General features: G+C 42.6%; 1 protein-coding gene and 1 long non-coding RNA gene across 39 annotated transcripts in view, besides 5 other annotated features; one reads left to right on the top strand and one right to left on the bottom strand.

Moving 5' to 3' along the window:
* Positions 1–16,532, bottom strand: part of BICD1 (BICD cargo adaptor 1) — a 276,787-nt gene extending 260,255 nt beyond the window's left edge. For 34 of the 38 annotated variants that reach the window (NR_148725.2, NM_001413168.1, NM_001354186.2 and 31 more), the window contains exon 1: positions 15,835–16,532. Coding sequence is in view for 37 of the 38 variants with exons in the window: in NM_001413168.1 (NP_001400097.1) it covers positions 15,835–16,047 (213 nt within the window). In the remaining variant the exon portion in view is untranslated. Of the gene's footprint in view, positions 1–3,035; positions 4,587–14,570; positions 15,718–15,834 lie in introns of those variants that run through there. The other 4 variants (NM_001413181.1, NM_001413182.1, NM_001413183.1 and 1 more) reach the window with 4 other exon arrangements.
* Positions 2,333–3,042: an enhancer, noted in NCBI's record as "OCT4-NANOG-H3K27ac-H3K4me1 hESC enhancer chr12:32273271-32273980 (GRCh37/hg19 assembly coordinates)". NCBI's record gives its function as "activates a minimal SCP1, AML or CMV promoter by ChIP-STARR-seq in naive and primed H9 embryonic stem cells {active_cell/tissue: H9 hESC(naive and primed)}" and the evidence as "EXISTENCE:reporter gene assay evidence [ECO:0000049][PMID:30033119]".
* Positions 3,848–4,464: an enhancer, noted in NCBI's record as "H3K27ac hESC enhancer chr12:32271849-32272465 (GRCh37/hg19 assembly coordinates)". NCBI's record gives its function as "activates a minimal SCP1, AML or CMV promoter by ChIP-STARR-seq in primed H9 embryonic stem cells {active_cell/tissue: H9 hESC(primed)}" and the evidence as "EXISTENCE:reporter gene assay evidence [ECO:0000049][PMID:30033119]".
* Positions 14,925–15,562: an enhancer, noted in NCBI's record as "H3K27ac hESC enhancer chr12:32260751-32261388 (GRCh37/hg19 assembly coordinates)". NCBI's record gives its function as "activates a minimal SCP1, AML or CMV promoter by ChIP-STARR-seq in primed H9 embryonic stem cells {active_cell/tissue: H9 hESC(primed)}" and the evidence as "EXISTENCE:reporter gene assay evidence [ECO:0000049][PMID:30033119]".
* BICD1-AS1 (BICD1 antisense RNA 1) lies at positions 15,917–19,262 on the top strand. The gene is made up of 3 exons (NR_185992.1): positions 15,917–15,985; positions 18,606–18,703; positions 19,089–19,262. It is a non-coding gene; the product is annotated as a BICD1 antisense RNA 1 (long non-coding RNA).
* Positions 16,090–16,169: an enhancer, noted in NCBI's record as "active region_6181". NCBI's record gives its function as "activates an Ori minimal core promoter by ATAC-STARR-seq in GM12878 lymphoblastoid cells {active_cell/tissue: GM12878}" and the evidence as "EXISTENCE:reporter gene assay evidence [ECO:0000049][PMID:35858748]".
* Positions 16,530–17,009: a silencer, noted in NCBI's record as "silent region_4335". NCBI's record gives its function as "represses an Ori minimal core promoter by ATAC-STARR-seq in GM12878 lymphoblastoid cells {active_cell/tissue: GM12878}" and the evidence as "EXISTENCE:reporter gene assay evidence [ECO:0000049][PMID:35858748]".
* Positions 19,263–19,359: the final 97 nt, after the last annotated feature.

Below are 19,359 nucleotides of genomic sequence, written 5' to 3'. Positions count from 1 at the left end.
AACATTGTGACTTTTCTGCTCAAAGCTCTCTGAAAGTTTCCCATCTCACTCAGAGCAAAAGCCAAAGTCCTGATAATCTAGAAGCTGCTACATCATGTGGCCCCCTCTGGTCTCACCTACTATTCACCCCCTAACTCAGTCCCCTCCAGCCACATGGCCTCCTTAGTGTGTCTTCTCAATGAGGCTTTCTCTGATCACTCTATTGAAAATCATAACCTTCTTCCACTTCACATGCCATCTCCCTATTCCCAGGGTTTTTTCCCCCCATAGCATTTTGGATGATCTAACGTGCTATCTACTTAACTCATTCATTTTGTTTATCATCTCTCTTCCCCCACAAAATGTAGGCTCCGCAAATATGGACCTTCTGTTGTGTTTGTTCTCTGCTGTATTTTCAACACCCAAATCTGACACTGAATCATTATTGTAGGAATGAATGAATGAACCATTAGTTATGTTTATACAATGACCTATCTGCTCACAGCATTACTTTGAAATCCATTTTTCAAATTTCTGAATCACACTGGCATCACAAATTTAAATACATCTTAAGATTTTTTCGCTTGGCATTGATTAATGATGACTAAAATCTCATTGGTCTAGAGCTTTCTTCGTTGCTTTTTTCTGAAAAGACTTACTGTGACCATTATCTAAAAATGTAATTGTTGTTTTGAGACCCTGGTCTAAATTTTAGCAAATAATTGCTTGTATTGTCTCAAGCACTTCAACATGATTTACAAAAATATATTACTTATTATGCCACAATGAAAAATAGCACCTGATTATAAAACATGACTGGAAATAACTACAGTAATTAAGATAGAAGACCTGAGAATGCTCTTAAGAAAGGGTTCTACTTCTTTTTTTGTTATTTGTTTTTTTTTTTTTTTGAAACGGAGTCTTGCTCTGTCGCCCAGGCTGGACTGCAGTGGCGCGATCTCAGCTCACTGCAAGCTCCGCCTCCCAGGTTCACACCATTCTCCTGCCTCAGCCTCCTGAGTAGCTGGGACTACAGGCGCCCACCACCAAGCCCGGCTAATTTTTTGTATTTTTCATAGAGACGGGGGTTTCACCATGTTAGTCAGGATGGTCTCGATCTGTGTTAGGATGGTCTCGATCTGTGTTAGGATGGTCTCGATTTCCTGACCTCGTGATCCACCCACCTCGGCCTCCCAAAGTGCTGGGATTACAGGTGTGAGCCAGCGCGCCCAGCCTTAAGAAAGGGTTCTACTTCTAAATTATTGTAAAATATTAACAAACTGAGGCTGGGTACAGTGGTACACACCTGTAATCCCAGCACCTTTGGAGGCTGAGGCAGGTAGATGTCTTGAGTCCAACAGTTTGAGACGAGCCTGCACAACATTGTGAGACACTGTCTCTACAAAAAATACAAAAAAATTAGCTGGGTGTGGTGACTCACACCTGTAGTCCCAGCTACTCAGGAGGCTGAGGCAGGAGGATCACTTGAGCCTGGGAAGTCAAAGCTGCAGTGAGCCGAGATTGCACCATTGCACTCCAGCCTGGGCAAGAGAGTGAGACCCTGTCTCAAAAAAAAAAAAAAAAAAATTTGACAAACTGAGATCTTCTGTTGTTCAGATCACTATATCATTAACCGTAGGTTTTCTTTGTTTGTTTGTTTGTTTGAGATAGAGTCTTGTTCTGTTGCCCAGGCTGGAGTGCAGTGTTGCGATCTTGGCTGTCTGCAGTCTCTGCCTCCTGGGCTCAAGCCATCCTTCCACCTCAGCGCTTTTATTTTTATTTTTATTTTTATTTTTATTTTTATTTTTGGAGACAGAACAAGACTCTCGCCCAGGCTGGAGTGCAATGGAGTGATCTTAGCTCACTGCAACCTCCGCCTCCCAGGTTCAAGAGTTTCTCCTGCCTCAGCCTCCCAAGTAGCTGGGATTACAGACACGCATGATCACATCCAGCTAATTTTTATATTTTTAGTAGAGAGAGGGTTTCACCATGTTGGCCAGGCTGGTCTTGAACTCCTGACCTCAAGTGATCCACCCACCTTGGCCTCCCAAAATTCTGGGATTACAGGCATGAGCCACCATTAGTTTTTAATGCCAACATTAATTAAGATCTGGTATGAATTTTTAAAATTATCTATGGACGCCAGGTGCTGTGGCTCACGCCTGTACTCCCAGCACTCTGAGACAGGTGGATCATGAGGTCAGAGGTTCAAGACCAGGCTGGCCAACATGGTGAAACCCCGTCTCTACTAAAGATACAAAAACTTAGCCAGGCATGGTGGCACACGCCTGTAATCCCAGCTACTCGGGAGGCTGAGGCAGGAGAATCACTTGAACCCAGGAGGCGGTGGCTGCAGTGAGCTGAGATCACGCCACTGCACTCCAGCCTGGGCAATAGCGCGAGACTCCGTCTCAAAAAAAAAAAAAAAAAATTCTATGGAGCCAACAATTCAAAAGCTATTTATAATCAGTTTGGAGCACATTATATTTTTTCCTTTTTTTTTTCTCTCTCTCTCTCTCTCTCTCTCTCTCTAATGGTTGATTTTCCTTCCTATATTTTCTTGAGATTTGGAGCTTAAAGAATCTAAGCACACCAACCTTAGCAGAAAGAAAGCCAGTTTGTGATTTAAAAGACAAAAAAAAAATGGTCATGCGTGCCAAAGAGATAATCTGCAAGACAATAGTATCTCCAGCTCAACAAAAGAAGTCATGTACAAGATTAAACTCATGCTGTTTCCATCCAGTAACCTCACACAAGGTCAACTTCAAGATATCTCCTAAAACCATCTAGCAAGTAGCAATCAGTGAGGCTTATCAACAGGGCCCATCCTTCTTACAATATAAACCTCTTTCAGTTTCAAAAATTGATGACTAAGAGCTCTTCAATAGTGGTATTTGATTCCACATTACTCTGCAGTATGCAAGAGAAAAACAAAGACCCATCATTCTGAACCTTCTATCACAGACCCACGCCAAACTGCAACAGAACATTCTTAAGGAAATTGCTACTGTTATTGTACACATATTGCTATTGCTCCCATAAATATAAACAGGTTCTCATTTTCAATTCTATATTTAAAGATAGAAACACAGCAGTTAAATATTACATTTGAGAGTAGTGCTTTTTCTCCTTAAAATGTTGGAAAACAGTAAAGATGTACAACCAAAAGAACAACTATAAGTCACCAAGAAGTTAGAGATCAATCCCTCAAAAAAAATTCTTTTTAAATATTCTATTTACAAATGTGTAAAGTTGGCATAAAAACTGCAAACAGAATAAAATAAATAGACACAATAAGAGAGAACTTTTAAAAGACACTTTAAACAGTACTCAAGAATACAAAATTAAATGCACTCAAAGTTAACATATATCTCTGTCTAATGCAGTTAAGTTTTTGATATTTTCTGTTTTCAGGAAGGATTTAATATTTTCATTTTCAGAAAGTAGAAACAACAAATTTTAAAAGACTGTGCAATGAAGGTTTATGTATTAGCTCATAACTTCCCAGTTTTTTGTTTTGTTTTGTTTTGAGACAGAGTCTTGTTCTGTCGCCCAAGCTGGAGTGAAGTGTCACGATCTCAGCTCACTGCAACCTCCACCTCCTGGGTTCAAGCAATTCTCATGCCTCAGTCTCCCGAATAGCTGGGACTACAGGCGCATGCCAGCATGCCCAGCTAATTCTGTATTTTTAATAGAGATGGGGTTTCGCCACGTTGGTCAGGCTGGTCTCAAACTCCTGGCCTCATATGATCCATCTGCCTTGGTCTCCCTAAGTGCTGGCATTACAGGCATGAGCCACTGCACCCGGAACTAGATTTTCTTACTAAACACTTCTACGCCCATGGGGTCATTTAGTCCTCAAGTTGGAAATATAGAAGAGGGGTTCTTTACCCTGGCTGCATCTCTAAGGGAAGTGGGATTCACATGCTGAAGCCAGGCTCCACTTCCAATGAGTGATTTAACTCTCCCGGAGTGGGGTCCAGGCAGCAGTAGTTTTATAAATCACCCAGGTGATTCTAACATACAGTCTGTATTGAAAGTCACTAGTTCCTACCCACCTCTTCTCAGAGAAGACCTCAGGGAGATATCCAAGGTCTGCTCAAACATTTCCAATGTTGAGACCCAATACCTCATTAGAAAAATCCAGTAGGCAATACACTGTGTTACAGAATGGTCATATTTCAAATATGAATGGTCATTTTTACAGAGCATGGTAACCCATCCCTTCCCCTAACAACTACAACAGAGTTCGCAGATCTTGGCACTTGTCCTCTTCTTAAAAATCACATTCCCCAGTCTCCACATGACTGGCTCCTTGTCATCATTCAGGTCTGGGCTCAAGTCTCACCTCCTGGGGAAGACTGCCTGATCACGCTTTCCCCAGCCAGTCTGTCTCTTCCCTCATGGCACCTCTCACAACTGAAATATGTGTGGATGTTCGTTGACTCTCTTCCCAGTCTGAAACATAAGCTCCACCCAGGCAGCCCCATTGGGTCTGTCTTGTTCAACGCTGTATCTCCAGCAAGTGGCACCATGCCCGACACAGTAGCCACTCAATACAAATTTTTGAATGAATAAATGAAACAGATGAAGAGGTAATGGGCAATCTAAAGCAAAAAGAAAACATCAGAGTGGTAGATAACGTAAATACAGTCATCCCTCAGTCTGGGTGAGGGTGTGGGGGTTCCAGGACCCCCTGCAGATACCAAAATCCACAGATGCTCAAGTCTCTGAGATAAAATAGTGTAGTATTTGCATGTAACCTACACACATCCTCCAGTATACATTAAATCATCTCTAGATTACTTATAATACCTAATACGATGTAAATGCTATGTAAATAGCTGTTATGCTGAATTATTCAGGGAACAATGACCAAAAAAAGCCTGTATACGTTTAGTACCGATGCAATTTTTTTTCCAAATATTTTCAATCCAAGGATGCAGAATCCAAGGATGCTGAACCCACAGATTCTGGGGCCTGACTAGTTGACGATGCAGATTATAAAATATTGGACTAGGCCAGGCTCGGTGGCTCACACCTGTAATCCCAGCACTTTGGGAGGCCGAGGCGGGCGGATCACAAGGTCAAGAGATCGAGACCATCCTGGCTAACACGGTGAAACCCCATCTGTACTAAAAATACAAAAATTGGCCAGGCGTAGTGGCGGGCACCTGTAGTCCCAGCTACTTGGGAGGCTGAGACAGGAGAATGGCATGAACCCAGGGAAGCGGAGCTTGCAGTGAGCCGAGTTCGCGCCACTGCACTCCAGCCTGGGCGACAGAGTGAGACTCCATCTCAAAAAAAATAAATAAAATAAAATAAAATAAAATAAAATATTGGACTAAGCGGGCCGGTGCGATGGCTCACGCCTGTAATCCCAGCACTTTGGGAGGCCGAGGCGAGCAGATCACCTGAGGTCAGGAGTTCGCGACCAGCCTGACCAACATGGAGAAACCCTGTCTCTACTAAAAATACAAAATTAGCTGGGCATGGTGGTGCATGCCTGTAATCCCAGCTACTCGGGAGCCTGAGGCAGGAGAATTGCTTGAAACTGGGAGGTGGAGGTTGCGGTGAGCTGAGATCATGCCATTGCACTCCAGCCTGGACAACGAGAGCGAAATATGGTCTTAAAAAAAAATATATATATATATATATATATATGTGTGTGTGTGTGTGTGTGTGTGTATATATATTTGTGTATATATATATATATATGACTAAGCGTAAATGACAAAATATAAAGTCATGCACATGCACATGTGCCCGTGTGTGTGAAAAAGAAGATTCTGGAGGCTGTAGACCTCCCTCAATGCAACCACGTAGCTTCAAAATGTACAGTTTCACTGAAAGCTCTCCAAATTTAGAGATACACTCATCTTAAAGCTTTATATTACCCATTAGTTTTCTTCTGAAAATAAAGCAAAACATAAATCAAAATAAAGTTTTGAGACACTGTGAAAACATTCCAAATGTTTACAGTCATCAAATAGTGTGAAATGCCAAACATTAAAGCAGAACAATTTAACCATGTTGGAAACACTGCTCTGGTGGTGGGAAAAGTATAAAAAACATAAACTTATCAAATTATTTGGAACACCTGGAATGATAAAAATCAAAGAAATCCGAATAAGAATGAACCTTAGAGATCATTCTAGATATACCCCTTCCTAAGGACAACTCCCCATAGAGTATTCTCAGCAAGTGGCTCACTAGCTTCTCCCTTTTGGTGACAGGGAATTCATTACTTCCTAAGAAGACTGCCTCATTCCATTACTAGACAACTACACTTGTCAGAAAGTGATTTATTTTGATCCAAAATCTGGCTCCCAGTGACTCACAGGGCCTTGTTCTGCTCTCTGAAGCCAAGTACAGACGCATCAATGAAAACAAACGTAACATATCAGTTCTATAACATAATAGGTGAGATCAGAAAATATGAATCCAGAAGAAAAGTGAGTTTGGACCAAGTGTTCAAAGAAAAAGGGAACTATGAAATGGTTAAAAAAAAAATGTAGAAGGCCAGGCACAGTAGTTCACACCTACAATCCCAACACTTTGGGAGGCTGAGGTGGGAGAATCACTTGAGCCCAGAAGTTCAAGACCAGCCTGAGCAACATAACAAAACCTCATCTCTGCAAATAATAATTTCTAAAAATTAGTTGGGCCACCTGAGCCTCCAGTAAAAACAAAATCAGGTTAAAAAAAAAAAAAATAGCCAGCATAGTGGTGTGCACCTGTGGTCCCAGCTACTCTGGAGGCTGAGGTGGGAGGATTACTTGAACCTGTGAGGTCAAGGCTGCAGTGGGCTGTAATCGCACCACTGTACTTCAGTCAGAGCGACAGAGTGAGACTCCATCTCAAAATTACATATATATATATATATATAGAGAGAGAGAGAGAGAGAAAGAGAGAGAGAGAGAGAGAGAGAGAGAGACAGACAGACAGACAGACAGACAGAGACAGAGACATAGTACAAGTGCTAAAATAAGGTGGACTATCTTGGCTAGAACTGAGTGACCAGAGTGGAAAAACAAAGGAGAAAAAATACATAAAAGAGTTGATGGAAGATCCCTGAAGTCTAGGTGAAAATTACTGCAACTAGGCAAAACTATTCTGTACTTTGGAAAAATATTGAATGAATTTGAAATGTAAAGGACAGGCAGTAAATAAGCAGAACATGCAGCTCTAAAACACAGCCATCTCAGAGATTTAGAGCTGGTAAAAAAAAATCATAGACATTATGTATTGCAACACCTTAATTTTATAGACTTAATTAAATCCCAAGAGGAAAAGGTATCAATTTCCACTTTCATATTCCCCTCCATTGTAATAACACCTTCACTGAACATTTTCCTCTTTTGTACCCTTTTCTCCCCACCTCCTGCACAGCATGCTGAATCTGAGATGTTGTATAAGATCCTAACTATTTCAAAACTCAGCTTTCAGAGGGCAAAGAAGGGATAACGTAATAAAGCCCAACTGCCTGAATCATCCTGGCTTGCCACCAAGACCCAGAATGGACAGGATGTGGTCACACTGCAGGACTGGCTCTTGCCGGCCATGGAAACTAGCCAGGTATTATGCTGATACACGTATCTCCATCAGCAGCTAACAAGACAAGGAATCAAAATCACTGCTAATTTACCCACAAAACTGTCCATCTTTTCCCCTGGTATCATTCCCCTGGGTCTGCTATTGGGCATCCAAATTCCATCAGTTTCTTTTATGCAAACCTACACCTTTTCCTCTTTCACTTACCATCCATGCTACCCTCAGGGTACCATTTTCACCACCTTCCCACATCCCCAGGGTCACCCAAACTCTGAGCTTCTCGGGTTTTCTTCCCTAATCGGTCTCATTTTCTTCACACTTCACCAGTGCTTTAAAAATGCAGCTTTGTCTCGTAAATACCTGCCTTTTGAAAGGACATACTACTAAATTTAAAACACCAGGCTGCAAGATCCTGTTTTTATAAAAACAAAGGAAGAAAAACAGCAAAAAAAAAAAAACCAAAAACACCACACACACAAAAACCCTGCCTATATGTTTAAAGACATTTAAAACAAGTACAGAAGAATACTCAGCAAAGTGTTAACAACAGAGACAGAACTGTGGGAGAAGAAGGGAAAACTATTAATTTATATATGCTTTTCTCTAGCTTGGAGTACTGCAATAAAAACTGTCATAATTACACAATTTTAATTCTTAAAAAGCAAACTCTTGAAATGAAAAATAGAAAAGGCTGGGTGCAATGGCTCATGCCTGTAATCCCAGCACTTTGGGAGGCTGAGGAGGGAGAATCGCTTGAGGCCAGGAGTTCAAGACCAGCCTGGTCAACATATTGAAACTCCCCCGCCGCCCACACCCCCCACCAAAAGAAAAGAGGAAAAAAACCCACTTAAATTAAAAATGCTAATGCATCTTCAATAAAGATTAAATAAGATTGATAAAGATTAGTCAGTGAGCAGTGAGGACTGTTGCTCCCAGCCCCCATAACCCTAAATGGTGAGTAAGGGCTAATTTTCCACTTAGGCTGCCTTCTTAGACCTTACTGTCCCCAGTCAGCTTTTTTGCCCATCGTTTATTTGTTTTCATTTTTCCTAATTTAGAAAGCAATCAAACTAACTGGTGAAAACATTATTAAATTGTTTATATCCCATATTCTAGAAATTAGGCTTCTATAAAATAACAACCAATTGCACAAATTAATTTTTTTTATTAAATTGAAAGTTAGCCTGTAATCCTAGCACTTTGGGAGGCCAAAACAGGCGGACTGTCCTTAGCTCAAGAGTTCTAGACCAACCTGGCTTACATGGCAAAACCCTGTGTCTACAAAAAAAATACAAAAATTAGTCAGGCATGGCGGTGTGCACCTGTAGTCCCAGCTACTTGGGGGCTGAGGCATGAGGATTGCTTGAGCCCAGGAGGTCAAGGCTGCAGTAAGCCACGATCACACCACTGTACTCCAGCCTAGGTGACAAAATGAGACCCCATCTCAAAAAAAGAAAAAAAAGAAAGTTGAGGATCTGAATCCATCATGCAATGTACGCTTCCCCAGCAAAGAAAACATGAATTAAAAGGACTTATGTGGCTGGGCACAATGGCTCATGCCTGTAATCTCCACACTTTACGAGGGCAAGGCAGGCAGATCGCTCGAGCTCAGGAATTTCAGACCAGCCTGGGCAACATGTTTGAAATCTTCTCTCTACTAAAAGTACAAAAATTAGGCTGGGCGCGGTGGCTCATGCCTATAATCCCAGCACTTTCGGAGGCCAAGGTGGGTGGATCACGAGGTCAGAAGATCAAGACCACTCTGGCCAACATGGTGAAACCCTGTCTCTACTAAAAAAAATACAAAAACTAGCCAGGCGTGGTGGCGCGCGCCTATAATCCCATCTACAGGTGGCTGACGCAGGAGAATCACTTGAACCCGGGAGGCAGAGGTTGCAGTAAGCCGAGATTGCGCCACTGCACTCCAGCCTAGGCGACAGAGCGAGATTCTGTCTTGGAAAAAAAAAAATTATTCAGGCATGGTGGCAGGCACCTGTAGTCCCACCTATTCAGGAGGCTGAGGCAGGAGAATCGCTTGAACCTGGGAGGTGGAGGTTGCAGTGAGCTGAGATCAGACCACTGCACTCCAGCCTGGGTGATAGAGTGAGATTCCAGCTCAAAAAAAAAAAAAAAAATTACCCAAGCATGGTGGTATGCTCCTGTAGTCCCAGTTACTTGGGAGGCTGAGGCAGGAGAATCACTTGAACCCAGGAGGCAAAGGTTGCAGTGGGCTGAGATCATGCCACTGCACTCCAGCTGGGGAAACAGAGGGAGACTCAGTCTCAAAAAAAAATTAGCCAGGCATGGTGGCATGGGTCTGTATTCCCAGCTCCTTGGGAGGCTGAGATGGGAGGATCACTTGAGCCAGGATGGTTAGTTAAGGTTGCGGTGAGCTGTAACAGCACCACTGCACTCCAGCCTGGGTGACAGAGAGAAACCCTGTGTCAAAAACAACAGAAACTCATGTAACTTGAGCATCAATTTCACCCTCTAAAACTGCTCTGCCCCATAATACCTTCCTTTGTAAATAGAACCACCTCCTATCCAGCCTGAGAAGATTCTCAGCTCCACTGTCTTCCTCACTTTCCACATATAGTAACATCCAATGCCTGTTCCACCCTACCTCCCAAATAGCTCTTAGACGTGCCCCCTCCTCACGATCCCTACTGCCACTGTCTGTCCCACCACACAGCCTCAATCCACCCACTATGACCATCACCATAACCTTCTATACTGCACTTGTAGACTTGGCAGAGATATTTCATATTCAAGGTAGTATGATGCAGTGAAAAAAAAGTGGGCTTCTTCCAAGTTTCATCGTTTAGTTTTGTGGCCCTGGGAAGAGACCTAAACCTCTCTAAGACCCAGTTTCCTCTTCTGTATAATGCAAGAAACACCTACCTTGAGTAAGGATTGCTGCATGAATTAGAGGTGAGGCTTGTAAAGAACCTAGTTCTAAATGGAGCCTTGTACCTAAGTCAATGCTTTATTATTTTTATTATCTTCTTATCAGTAAAAATGAGCAGTAAGCCCTCTGAATTGTTTTGAAGACTGGTGAGATTAAACACAGTGACTGTTTCATTTATTTTCAATGGCTCCACATCCCCAAGACAAAATGTGGCCATGGCCCTTTCACAATTGCATCTCCTGCCACTTGACTTTACGTGCATTCTCCTTTAGCGTAATGAATTATTTAATACTAAGACTATGCAGCCCTTCATGCCCTCCTCTCCTCAAAGCCATAATTACAGGTGGAATCTTATGTGTGGGCAAGTCCTTTATGTATATTTCAACATGCAAGTAATTAATTACCGTATTTTCAAATTTGGAAAGCAATATCCATGAGTACAACTATATTTAAGGGGATGATAGGGCAAAATATTTGCAAGCAGAAAGTTCTGAAGAAACCTTCAAACCATCGCTGTCATACATGTTCACATAAACATGGGGAATGTGATAAAAGATGATAAATTCTTGCTAAGTTATATCTGAGAAATAACTTCGCCAGAGACGAAATCTTGATTTCAAATAAAAAGAAGGGGCTGGGCGTGGGGGCTCACGCCTGTAATCCCAGCACTTTGGGAGGCTGAGGCAGGCGGATCACCTGAGGTCGGGAGTTCAAGACCAACCTCACCAACATGAAGAAACGCTATCTCTACTAAAAATACAAAACTGGCCAGGTGTGGTGGCGCATGCCTGTAATCCTAGCTACTCGGGAGGCTGAAGCAGAAGAATCACTTGAACCCAAGAGGCAGAATTTGCGGTGAGCCGAGATCACACCATTGCACTCCAGCCTGGGCAACAAGAGTGAAACTCCATCTCAAAAAAAAAAAAAAAAAAAAAAGGGATAGTGCAAGTTAGAGCAACTGGGTCCAGAAAAAAAGAAATGTGATTGAAAGCGATGATGTTTATTTGTTGAGGTTGTTTGTAAACAGTTTCCAAAAGCATATCTTAATGTATTTTAGATTTTAAGATTAATTTGATAATAAATGTAAATATTTTTTCTTTAAAAACATCGAGACCATCCTGGCTAACAAGGTGAAAGCCCATCTCTACTAAAAATACGAAAAATTAGCCAGGTGTGGTGGTGAATGCGTGTAGTCTCAGCTACTCCGGAGGCTGAGGCAGGAGAATGGCGTGAACCCGGGAGGTGGAGCTTGCAGTGAGCCGAGATCACACCACCGCACTCCAGGCTGGGTGAAAGTGCGAGACTCCATCTCAAAATAAAATAAAATAAAATAAAAAAATAAAAACAATGAGAGAAGTTAAAAATCATAGTTCAGATAGATCAATTAAGTATTAACTGTCTCTTTATGTTTATTCATAGATTGGAAAAGAAATCTGGGGTTTTTCTTGCCATATGATTTTGTGATTTAGAACTTAAAGATATAAAAGAAACTAACAATCTTTCTAAGCATCTGAAGGGAAAACAATTCTGCTTAAAGATGAATCTAGGTAATTTAAGTGGCATTCATCAGGTCACCAATGTGACAAGCTCTAAAACTGTGTAAGTACATATTTTTGTGTTGAATGATTTAACTATAACCCTGAAAAAGAATAGAGTTGGCTCCAAAAGAAAAAGCTGCCCAATGTCCAGAAAGTGCTTCTTCAGCAGCTGGTAACTATCCTTGGTGTCAGGGTTGACAAAATAAGCAAGAAAATGGGTTGAAGCTCATTAGTGCATAGTTTACGGTATCCAAGCTGCAAAACTTTTCTAAAGCTGTCTCACAGATACATTTCCTTTTTAAAATGCCATCAGTAATGCTGAATCATTCCTTTCTAAGGGGCTCTTTTTCAACTTTACAACATTTTAAATTTCAACCATTTTTAAGTTAAAAAAAAACTCTTTTTTTTTATTATTATACTTTAAGTTTTAGGGTACATGTGCACAACGTGCAGATTAGTTACATATGTATACATGTGCCATGCTGGTGTGCTGCACCCATTAACTCGTCATTTAGCATTAGGTATATCTCCTAATGCTATCCATCCCCCCTCCCCCCACCCCACAACAGTCCCCAGAGTGTGATGTTCCCCTTCCTGTGTCCATGTGTTCTCATTGTTCAATTCCCATCTATGAGTGAGAACATGCGGTGTAAAAAAAACTCTTAAGTTTAGATCCAAGGTATTTTTATATATGTATATTTTTAGTTTTCAGGTTATTTTGGAGCTATGACTCTTCTTCAAACACTATTCTGGCCTGGGTGACAGGCGCACAGTGCTGATTTACGTACATCCCAAACATATAATCAGCCAGGCCCTGAACATAACTGGGCATGGGTGACCCTCACTCAGGTCACTGAAGAGCAAGTGTTACTTGTGAAATCACAAAACCAGACTCAAGTATTCTAGTGGACATACTGCTCTGTCCAGCTGCCCAAAGAATCATGAAAAGGAGAACACTTTGATGATGTCAGAAGTCATCCTTTTTTCAAATCCTTAGTACTATTCTTTCAAGTGTGTTCTTCTGTGAGCTGAATTACAGTAGTCCATGCAGAGCACTAAACAACATCAGGCCAGGTCAAAAAACAATTGAGTTGAGGGAAGAAATAACTAGGAAAAAAATTTAATGAATTTCATCTTCTTGATTTTGCACATCTTTAGGCAACACTGCCGACTTGCATTATTGTCACAGCAGTACCTAGCCTGGGAAGGAAGGTAGCAACATTGGTGGGTACTGACTCTGGAAAACAAAATGATCTGCAAAGACTGAGCCATGTTGCTATACTGCAAATTACTAATGTCCAATTTGGACTTAATACAGTAGTTTTCTGTTGACATTCCCATAAACTGGTTCAATTATTTTTAAATAAATCATATTTGTTCAAAAATCCTAGAAATAAGCAAAGATTTATTTTATGCTTGGCTTTATAGATATAATGCAACATCATTTACTATACATACCTGATGAGCAAAACTTTCTTTTGAAAAATCAAAACACTCACAAAATATTTTTCAAAACTGAGGTGTTGGAACACCTCAGTTTGCACAATTATTTTGGATTTACTTTTCATACAAGAAATGTTACTTGAAATCAATTTAACTCATTTAAGTTATATTTCCAACTAAAGTATATTCTATGTTTAAAGAATAAAAATAATAGGCCTCACTATCAAATAATCAACTATAATAATTTTATTACCTAAAATACATTTTTATATAACTGTATAAACCAGTTTTTTAGGAATCTCGAATTTCACTTATGCTAAATGCAACTGAAAATAAATATATGAACAAGAATCGTTTAGTAAAAATAATGCTGGTAAATTTTTATTAACCTCCTGCTATATAGAACAAAATATATATTAAAATATTTATAGAAAAAATTTTAGTTGGTATTTGCATTATTCTGTATTAAGAAACCACAGTTACATTATTCCTACAAAACGTTTTTTTCACATTTTTCTCATTACTGCTGGTGAAACTAATACAGGTAGTTTTATTAACATCTGTCACTTCCTATACATCCTAATTTTCTTAGTATTTATCTAACACTAATCAATATTGACTAGTGAACCCTTGATAAAAGTGTGCCTTCTTCTAGTACAAACTGATTCTTTCATAAAATATTTCATGCCCACTGTGTGCTAGCTTTTGTGTTAAAGACTTGGGATGCAAAGCTCATGGTGTAGCAAAGGCAAAACACAATTGCATTAAGGTTTGCTATGCAAGGTAAGTGCAATGACAGAAATATCCCTAGAAGGATTGTTTAAATCAAGCAGCAAAGTCAGTAAGAGGTACATTTCATTAAATTAAGTCCATCTCCTTTATCAAGAAGGTGATGGCTTACCACTTTCTGGTTTGCACTTCCCTATCTTGGCAAAGCAGTGTTGATAGGTATAGACAATATCAAAACATCTCTGAGAATGACAGTCATCATCCTGCTTCCTCACTTCACAAGGTTTAGCATCACTGCATTTAAACATGTCAGCCTAATCTAAGTTGGAAAATATAAACAAGTCCAGCTGTTGTTAAGACCAGACAGGTACATGGTAAGTAAAATAGGAACCAGAAATTTACAGCCTGACACACAAAAATTAGATTCCTAGTTGGGATTTTTAATCATAGGTAGTACATTTATTTTTTGGTAGACAGGCATCCAAATAAAAATAAGACATATCTAAAAGTATAAATGCTTACCATATTACACACTAAATTGGAAGGCAAGTTGATTCAGTATGTCATAAATCACATCTTTTAACTGTAACAGCATAAAATAAATAATAGATTTTTGATATTATATGCCAAACAATAATTAACATTTAAATGTCAATATGCACCTAAAAATAAGGACTTGACACACAGAAAAGGAGTGTATATTACATTTAAATTTGTAAGTGGTTATTTGCTACCCATAGTGCCTCAAGAATCAGATAAAAAAGACCGAGTTACTTAAACAATATGTATGTTCTTAAGAGTGACTGATAGGAAATCAAAGCACGTTCATTGTTTTCTCCCATACATCCGACAGGCTTTAAAAGAGGCCAAATACCAAAAAACTAAAGAGACATTATACATCACCCATTTTTGATATTCTGGTTTTATAAATATATCATTTCAACCAGAAGAGCCTCATTTGAAATGCAACACTACCCACGTATTTGATATACACCACTCTTTCAGACTATTTGTAGGTGAGTTCAATTTTTTCTAGTCAGGGTGACCTCATAAGACTTGGACATGGCCCAGCCTCGCTCCGAGGTGAAATCAAGGCAGTGGGATCACCCAGCAAAGTTGTTTTTCTTCTGCAGCCCAATGACAAGAATGACTAAAGCCAAGCAGAATGAAGATTGCCTAGCCTTTGTCAAATGGGATTGGTGAGGAGTTCCCTCTCTCACCAAGGAGTGGTTACATCCAGAGGAAAGCTGAGGTGCCACACAGTCTAAATCCTGAAATTGTGGGTCCTCAGGCACAAACCTCATCACTTTTGTGGACTACGAAATTGTCGCTGAAACCTGGGTTTGAGATAACAGCGGTTTTGAGAAGTTTGATTTATACATTCCAACCCACTTGAATGTCGTCTTAGAGTGCTGAGACTTGATGACTCTTACTAATCTCCCTCCCCCGCAGGCCAAACAGCCATTGCCTCCCAAATTCCAGCTTATATATTCATTTCTTAGGCAATTTTTCTCTTGGGGGAGGAAACAATGGACTCTTTCAATCTTCTCTTACCAACAAAGGGCCCTAGAAGAAAAAACAGTCCTTTCAATCACCTCCTTTATGACTTCTTGATCATGATGAGTGGGCCTTGCGGGTGGGGGGAGTGAGGGCCAGGAAAGGGAGAGGTGACAGGCAACTCACCTCTTTGAGCTGCTCCAGCTCCTGTTTGAGGCTGTCGTACTCAGCCTCCAGTTCATCATACTGCTGTTTGAGGGTCAGCTTCTCCTCCAGCACCACCAGCCCGTACTCGGCAGCCTGGATCTTCTCGTGGGTGGTCTCCGTGAGCTCCTTGGTTAGCCTCTCTATCTCAGTCTTATAATGGTCCACCGTCTGCAATACCTCTTCTGCGGCCATAGCCCCGGTGGATGGAGGCAGGAGGGGGTTACGGGGTGGGGGAGATGGATGCGAAGCTGGCGGGGAAAGGGAGAAGGAAATGGGAAGGGATGGGTGGAAACGGAAAAGAAAGTGCGGCCGGATGAATGAGCAGCGCGATGCCCCGCCGGCTCTGGTGGCAGCGGCAGCTACACCGCCCGAGAAACTGACGAGAAATGCAACATGGAGAACAGGGCAGAGGGTCAGGGGCGAGGCGGCAAAGGCCGCCGCATGTGTCCTCGGGGCCGGCCCCTGCGTGCGGTCAGCAGCCGTGCGGCATGGCCCGGGCTGCGGCGGCCGCGGGTAGCGAGGGGCTCCGGATTCTGCTTATTCAGAGACGCCCGTCCGCCATGTCTCCCGGGCCGCGTCACTGCAGTCTCGCCCTGGGTCTGGCGCGCTCCGGCTCGCGGCTCGCTCTCTCGCTCCACCTGCTCCCTCTGGCCCTGCAGCAGCCGGTGCGGAATGATGCAGTCTCGGGGCCGGCTCCCTCCCTTCCCGCGTGGCGGCGGCTCCGAGCAGGGGGCGGGGAGCGGATGGAGTCAGCGCGGGGGGCGGAGGGAAGGACCAGACGGAAACATCCCGAGGCGCCTCCCGCCGGGCGCGCGGGCCGCCGCCCGCTGCACCGTGAGGCGCGCCAGGAGGAGGCGCAGGCGACGGGTCTGGGACTGGGAAGCGGTGGGGCGCGCGCGGCGGGGGAGCCTCCGCCCTGTCCGGCTCGCGGGGGCGGGAGCTCCTCCCAGGGCTTTGTCCCGGTGGCAGTAGAAGACCCCGAGAGCGGCGTGGGCGCCCGGGCTCTTTTGCTACGTCGAGGGCCGAAGCTCAGGAAACTGCCTGGAACGCTTTCTCCCGAGAAAAGCAAACAAAACTATCGCGGTCGCGGTCCGCGCATCCTCCTCGTCCCCTGGGCGCGCAGAAGGCTTTTTGGGCCACCTGCCCCCAAAAGACCGCTGGGTTTCCCAAAGCTTTCAAGACGCACCCCAAGGCGCCCTCCTCCGTCGTCCCCCTCTCTCCCTGCCTCTCCCAAGTCTGGCCTGGGCCACCTAACACTCTCACCAGATAACCTTACTATCCTCACAGGACAGTCCGCTAAATATTGCTCGCCCTCACCCAGCGTATCACAAGAGCGCTATCCACTCAGAAAAAAAATATCTCCACAATACATGCACCCAGGAAACCTCTAGCTAGGTACTGTATATCTTGCCCCAATAGTTTCCATCAAAGCACCTTACTCTGTGTCTTCAATAAAGGAAAACTGCTTGAAATTCCCTATATAAGATACCAACGATGCCCTGTAATAAGCATTTTTTAAACAATAAGAGCTAAGAGTTCTTGAGACCCATACCAAGCATTCTTCTAAGTATGTAACATGCGTTCTCTCCAATCCTAACAATGCTTTGAGGTAAGAGCCATTATCCTCAGTTTACAGGGGGTGAAAGGCAAAGGGAGATGTGATTTGTCCAAAGTCAGGCAACTCTGGAATCTTAACTCGGGAGCACTAAACGGGATCATTATGTTGGCTTCAGGTTCACTCATTACTCATACAAACCCAGCAACTACATATTACATGCTTTTAAGATAATCACATTAATCCATATGAAGAGTGATGATGAACGGTTACAAAAGGAGGTGAAAGCAAAGTAAGAGTGGAGTAAATGAAAGAGTGGAGAAGGGTCGAGAATCAAGAGGAAGAACGCAACATGAGAGAAAAGAAGCAATTTCTGTGTAACGGGAGGCTGTGAGACCCACAGATCAGTGGGTCTTTCCAGTTCCCTCTCTTCTTCTGCATGGCACCTATTCCAGAGCTGTTTCTCAGTGACCAGGTGATGAACACACATGCGTTTTCTAAGTTAGAAAGCAGGACTCAACTCTCCCATCATTGTGTACCTGGTAAAAAAAAAAAAAAAAAAAAAAAAGATGATTGTTGACCGGGCACAGTGGCTCACGCCTATAATCCCAGCACTTTGGGAGGCAGAAGTGGATGGATCATTTGAGGTCCGGAGTTCAAGACTAGCCTGGCCCACATGGTGAAATCCCATCTCTACTAAAAATACAAAAATTAGCCAGGTATGGTGGTGCACGCCTGTGATCCCAGCTACTTGGGAGGCTGAGGCAGGAGAATTGCTTGAATCCAGGAGGTGGAGGGTACAGATGGCACCACTATACTCCAGCCTAGGCAACAGAGACTCCATCTCAAAAAAAAAAAAAAAAAAGGACACTTGTTGATGGCGTGGGAGAAAAAGCATATGACAGTGCCCTTCCAAAGTTTCCACTAGCAGGCTGTCTGGATGTGTTTTCCATTGCTTCACAAACCAGACAAGTTTCCTTCTAAACGCCAGCGATCACAACAGAATATTCTCATGTGATTGTCTGATCTAAAAATAAAACAAAAGAATATTCTCTTGTGATTGTCTGATCTAAAAATAAATAAATAAAAGGAGAAAACATTCCAAATGTGCAGCCACCATAAATTCCAGCCTTGTAGAGAAGCGGATGATAATGACTACAACATCCGACCCATCTTTCCTTATCTCGCACTCCAGGTGGGAAGCCCCTCCTGTGTGCTCCCGTGGCATCTGACCTCTGACACGTTGATGAATGATGATGAACTGCTGAAAAGAGATGGAACCTGCAATTGCAGGTAGCTAACCTGCCTTCCCAGGAAGCCTCTGGCTGTTCCTCACTCTACAAACTGTAAGCATAGGCCTTCCAAAGGGATCATAAGACTCGCACTAGATTGCCTGTGCCTCCCTCTCCTTTGGATCAAACTAAGAACAGAGTTTGCCTCTGTGACTTTCCTTTTTGCTAAATTTCCATTGTGGTCCAGCCCCTATGCTCTATCCTGCCCCGTTTTTCTGATTGATACACTTTTGTCACTTGTCACTTTTGTCTGATTTCAGGCATGTCTTGCACACTCTGACACTTTAAGATGTTGCTTAGTTGAACTTTGATCCTTAAATGTTGGTATTTAACGTAAAGAAGATAAACTTATTTTCTTGTTTTTTTTCTCTTTTTTTCTGAGACAGGGTCTCCATCACTTAGGCTGGAGTGGAGTGGCATGATCATGACTCCCTGCAGCCTCAACCTCCTGGACTCAAGCGATCCTCCCACCTCAGCCTCCTGAGTAGCTGGAACTACAGATGAATACCACCACACTCAGCTAATTTTTTAAATTTTTGTAGAGACAGGGTCTGTCTATGTTGCCCAGGCTGGTCTCAAACTCCTGGGATCAAGTGATCCTCCCACCCTGGCCTCCCAAAGTTCTGGGATTACAGATGTGAGCCACCATGCCCAGCC

This window comes from Homo sapiens, chromosome 12 (assembly GCF_000001405.40).
Source record: "Homo sapiens chromosome 12, GRCh38.p14 Primary Assembly".
NCBI lineage: Eukaryota > Metazoa > Chordata > Mammalia > Primates > Hominidae > Homo > Homo sapiens.
Note: the sequence above shows the minus strand (reverse complement) of the source record. Positions and strands in the feature narration are given on the sequence as shown.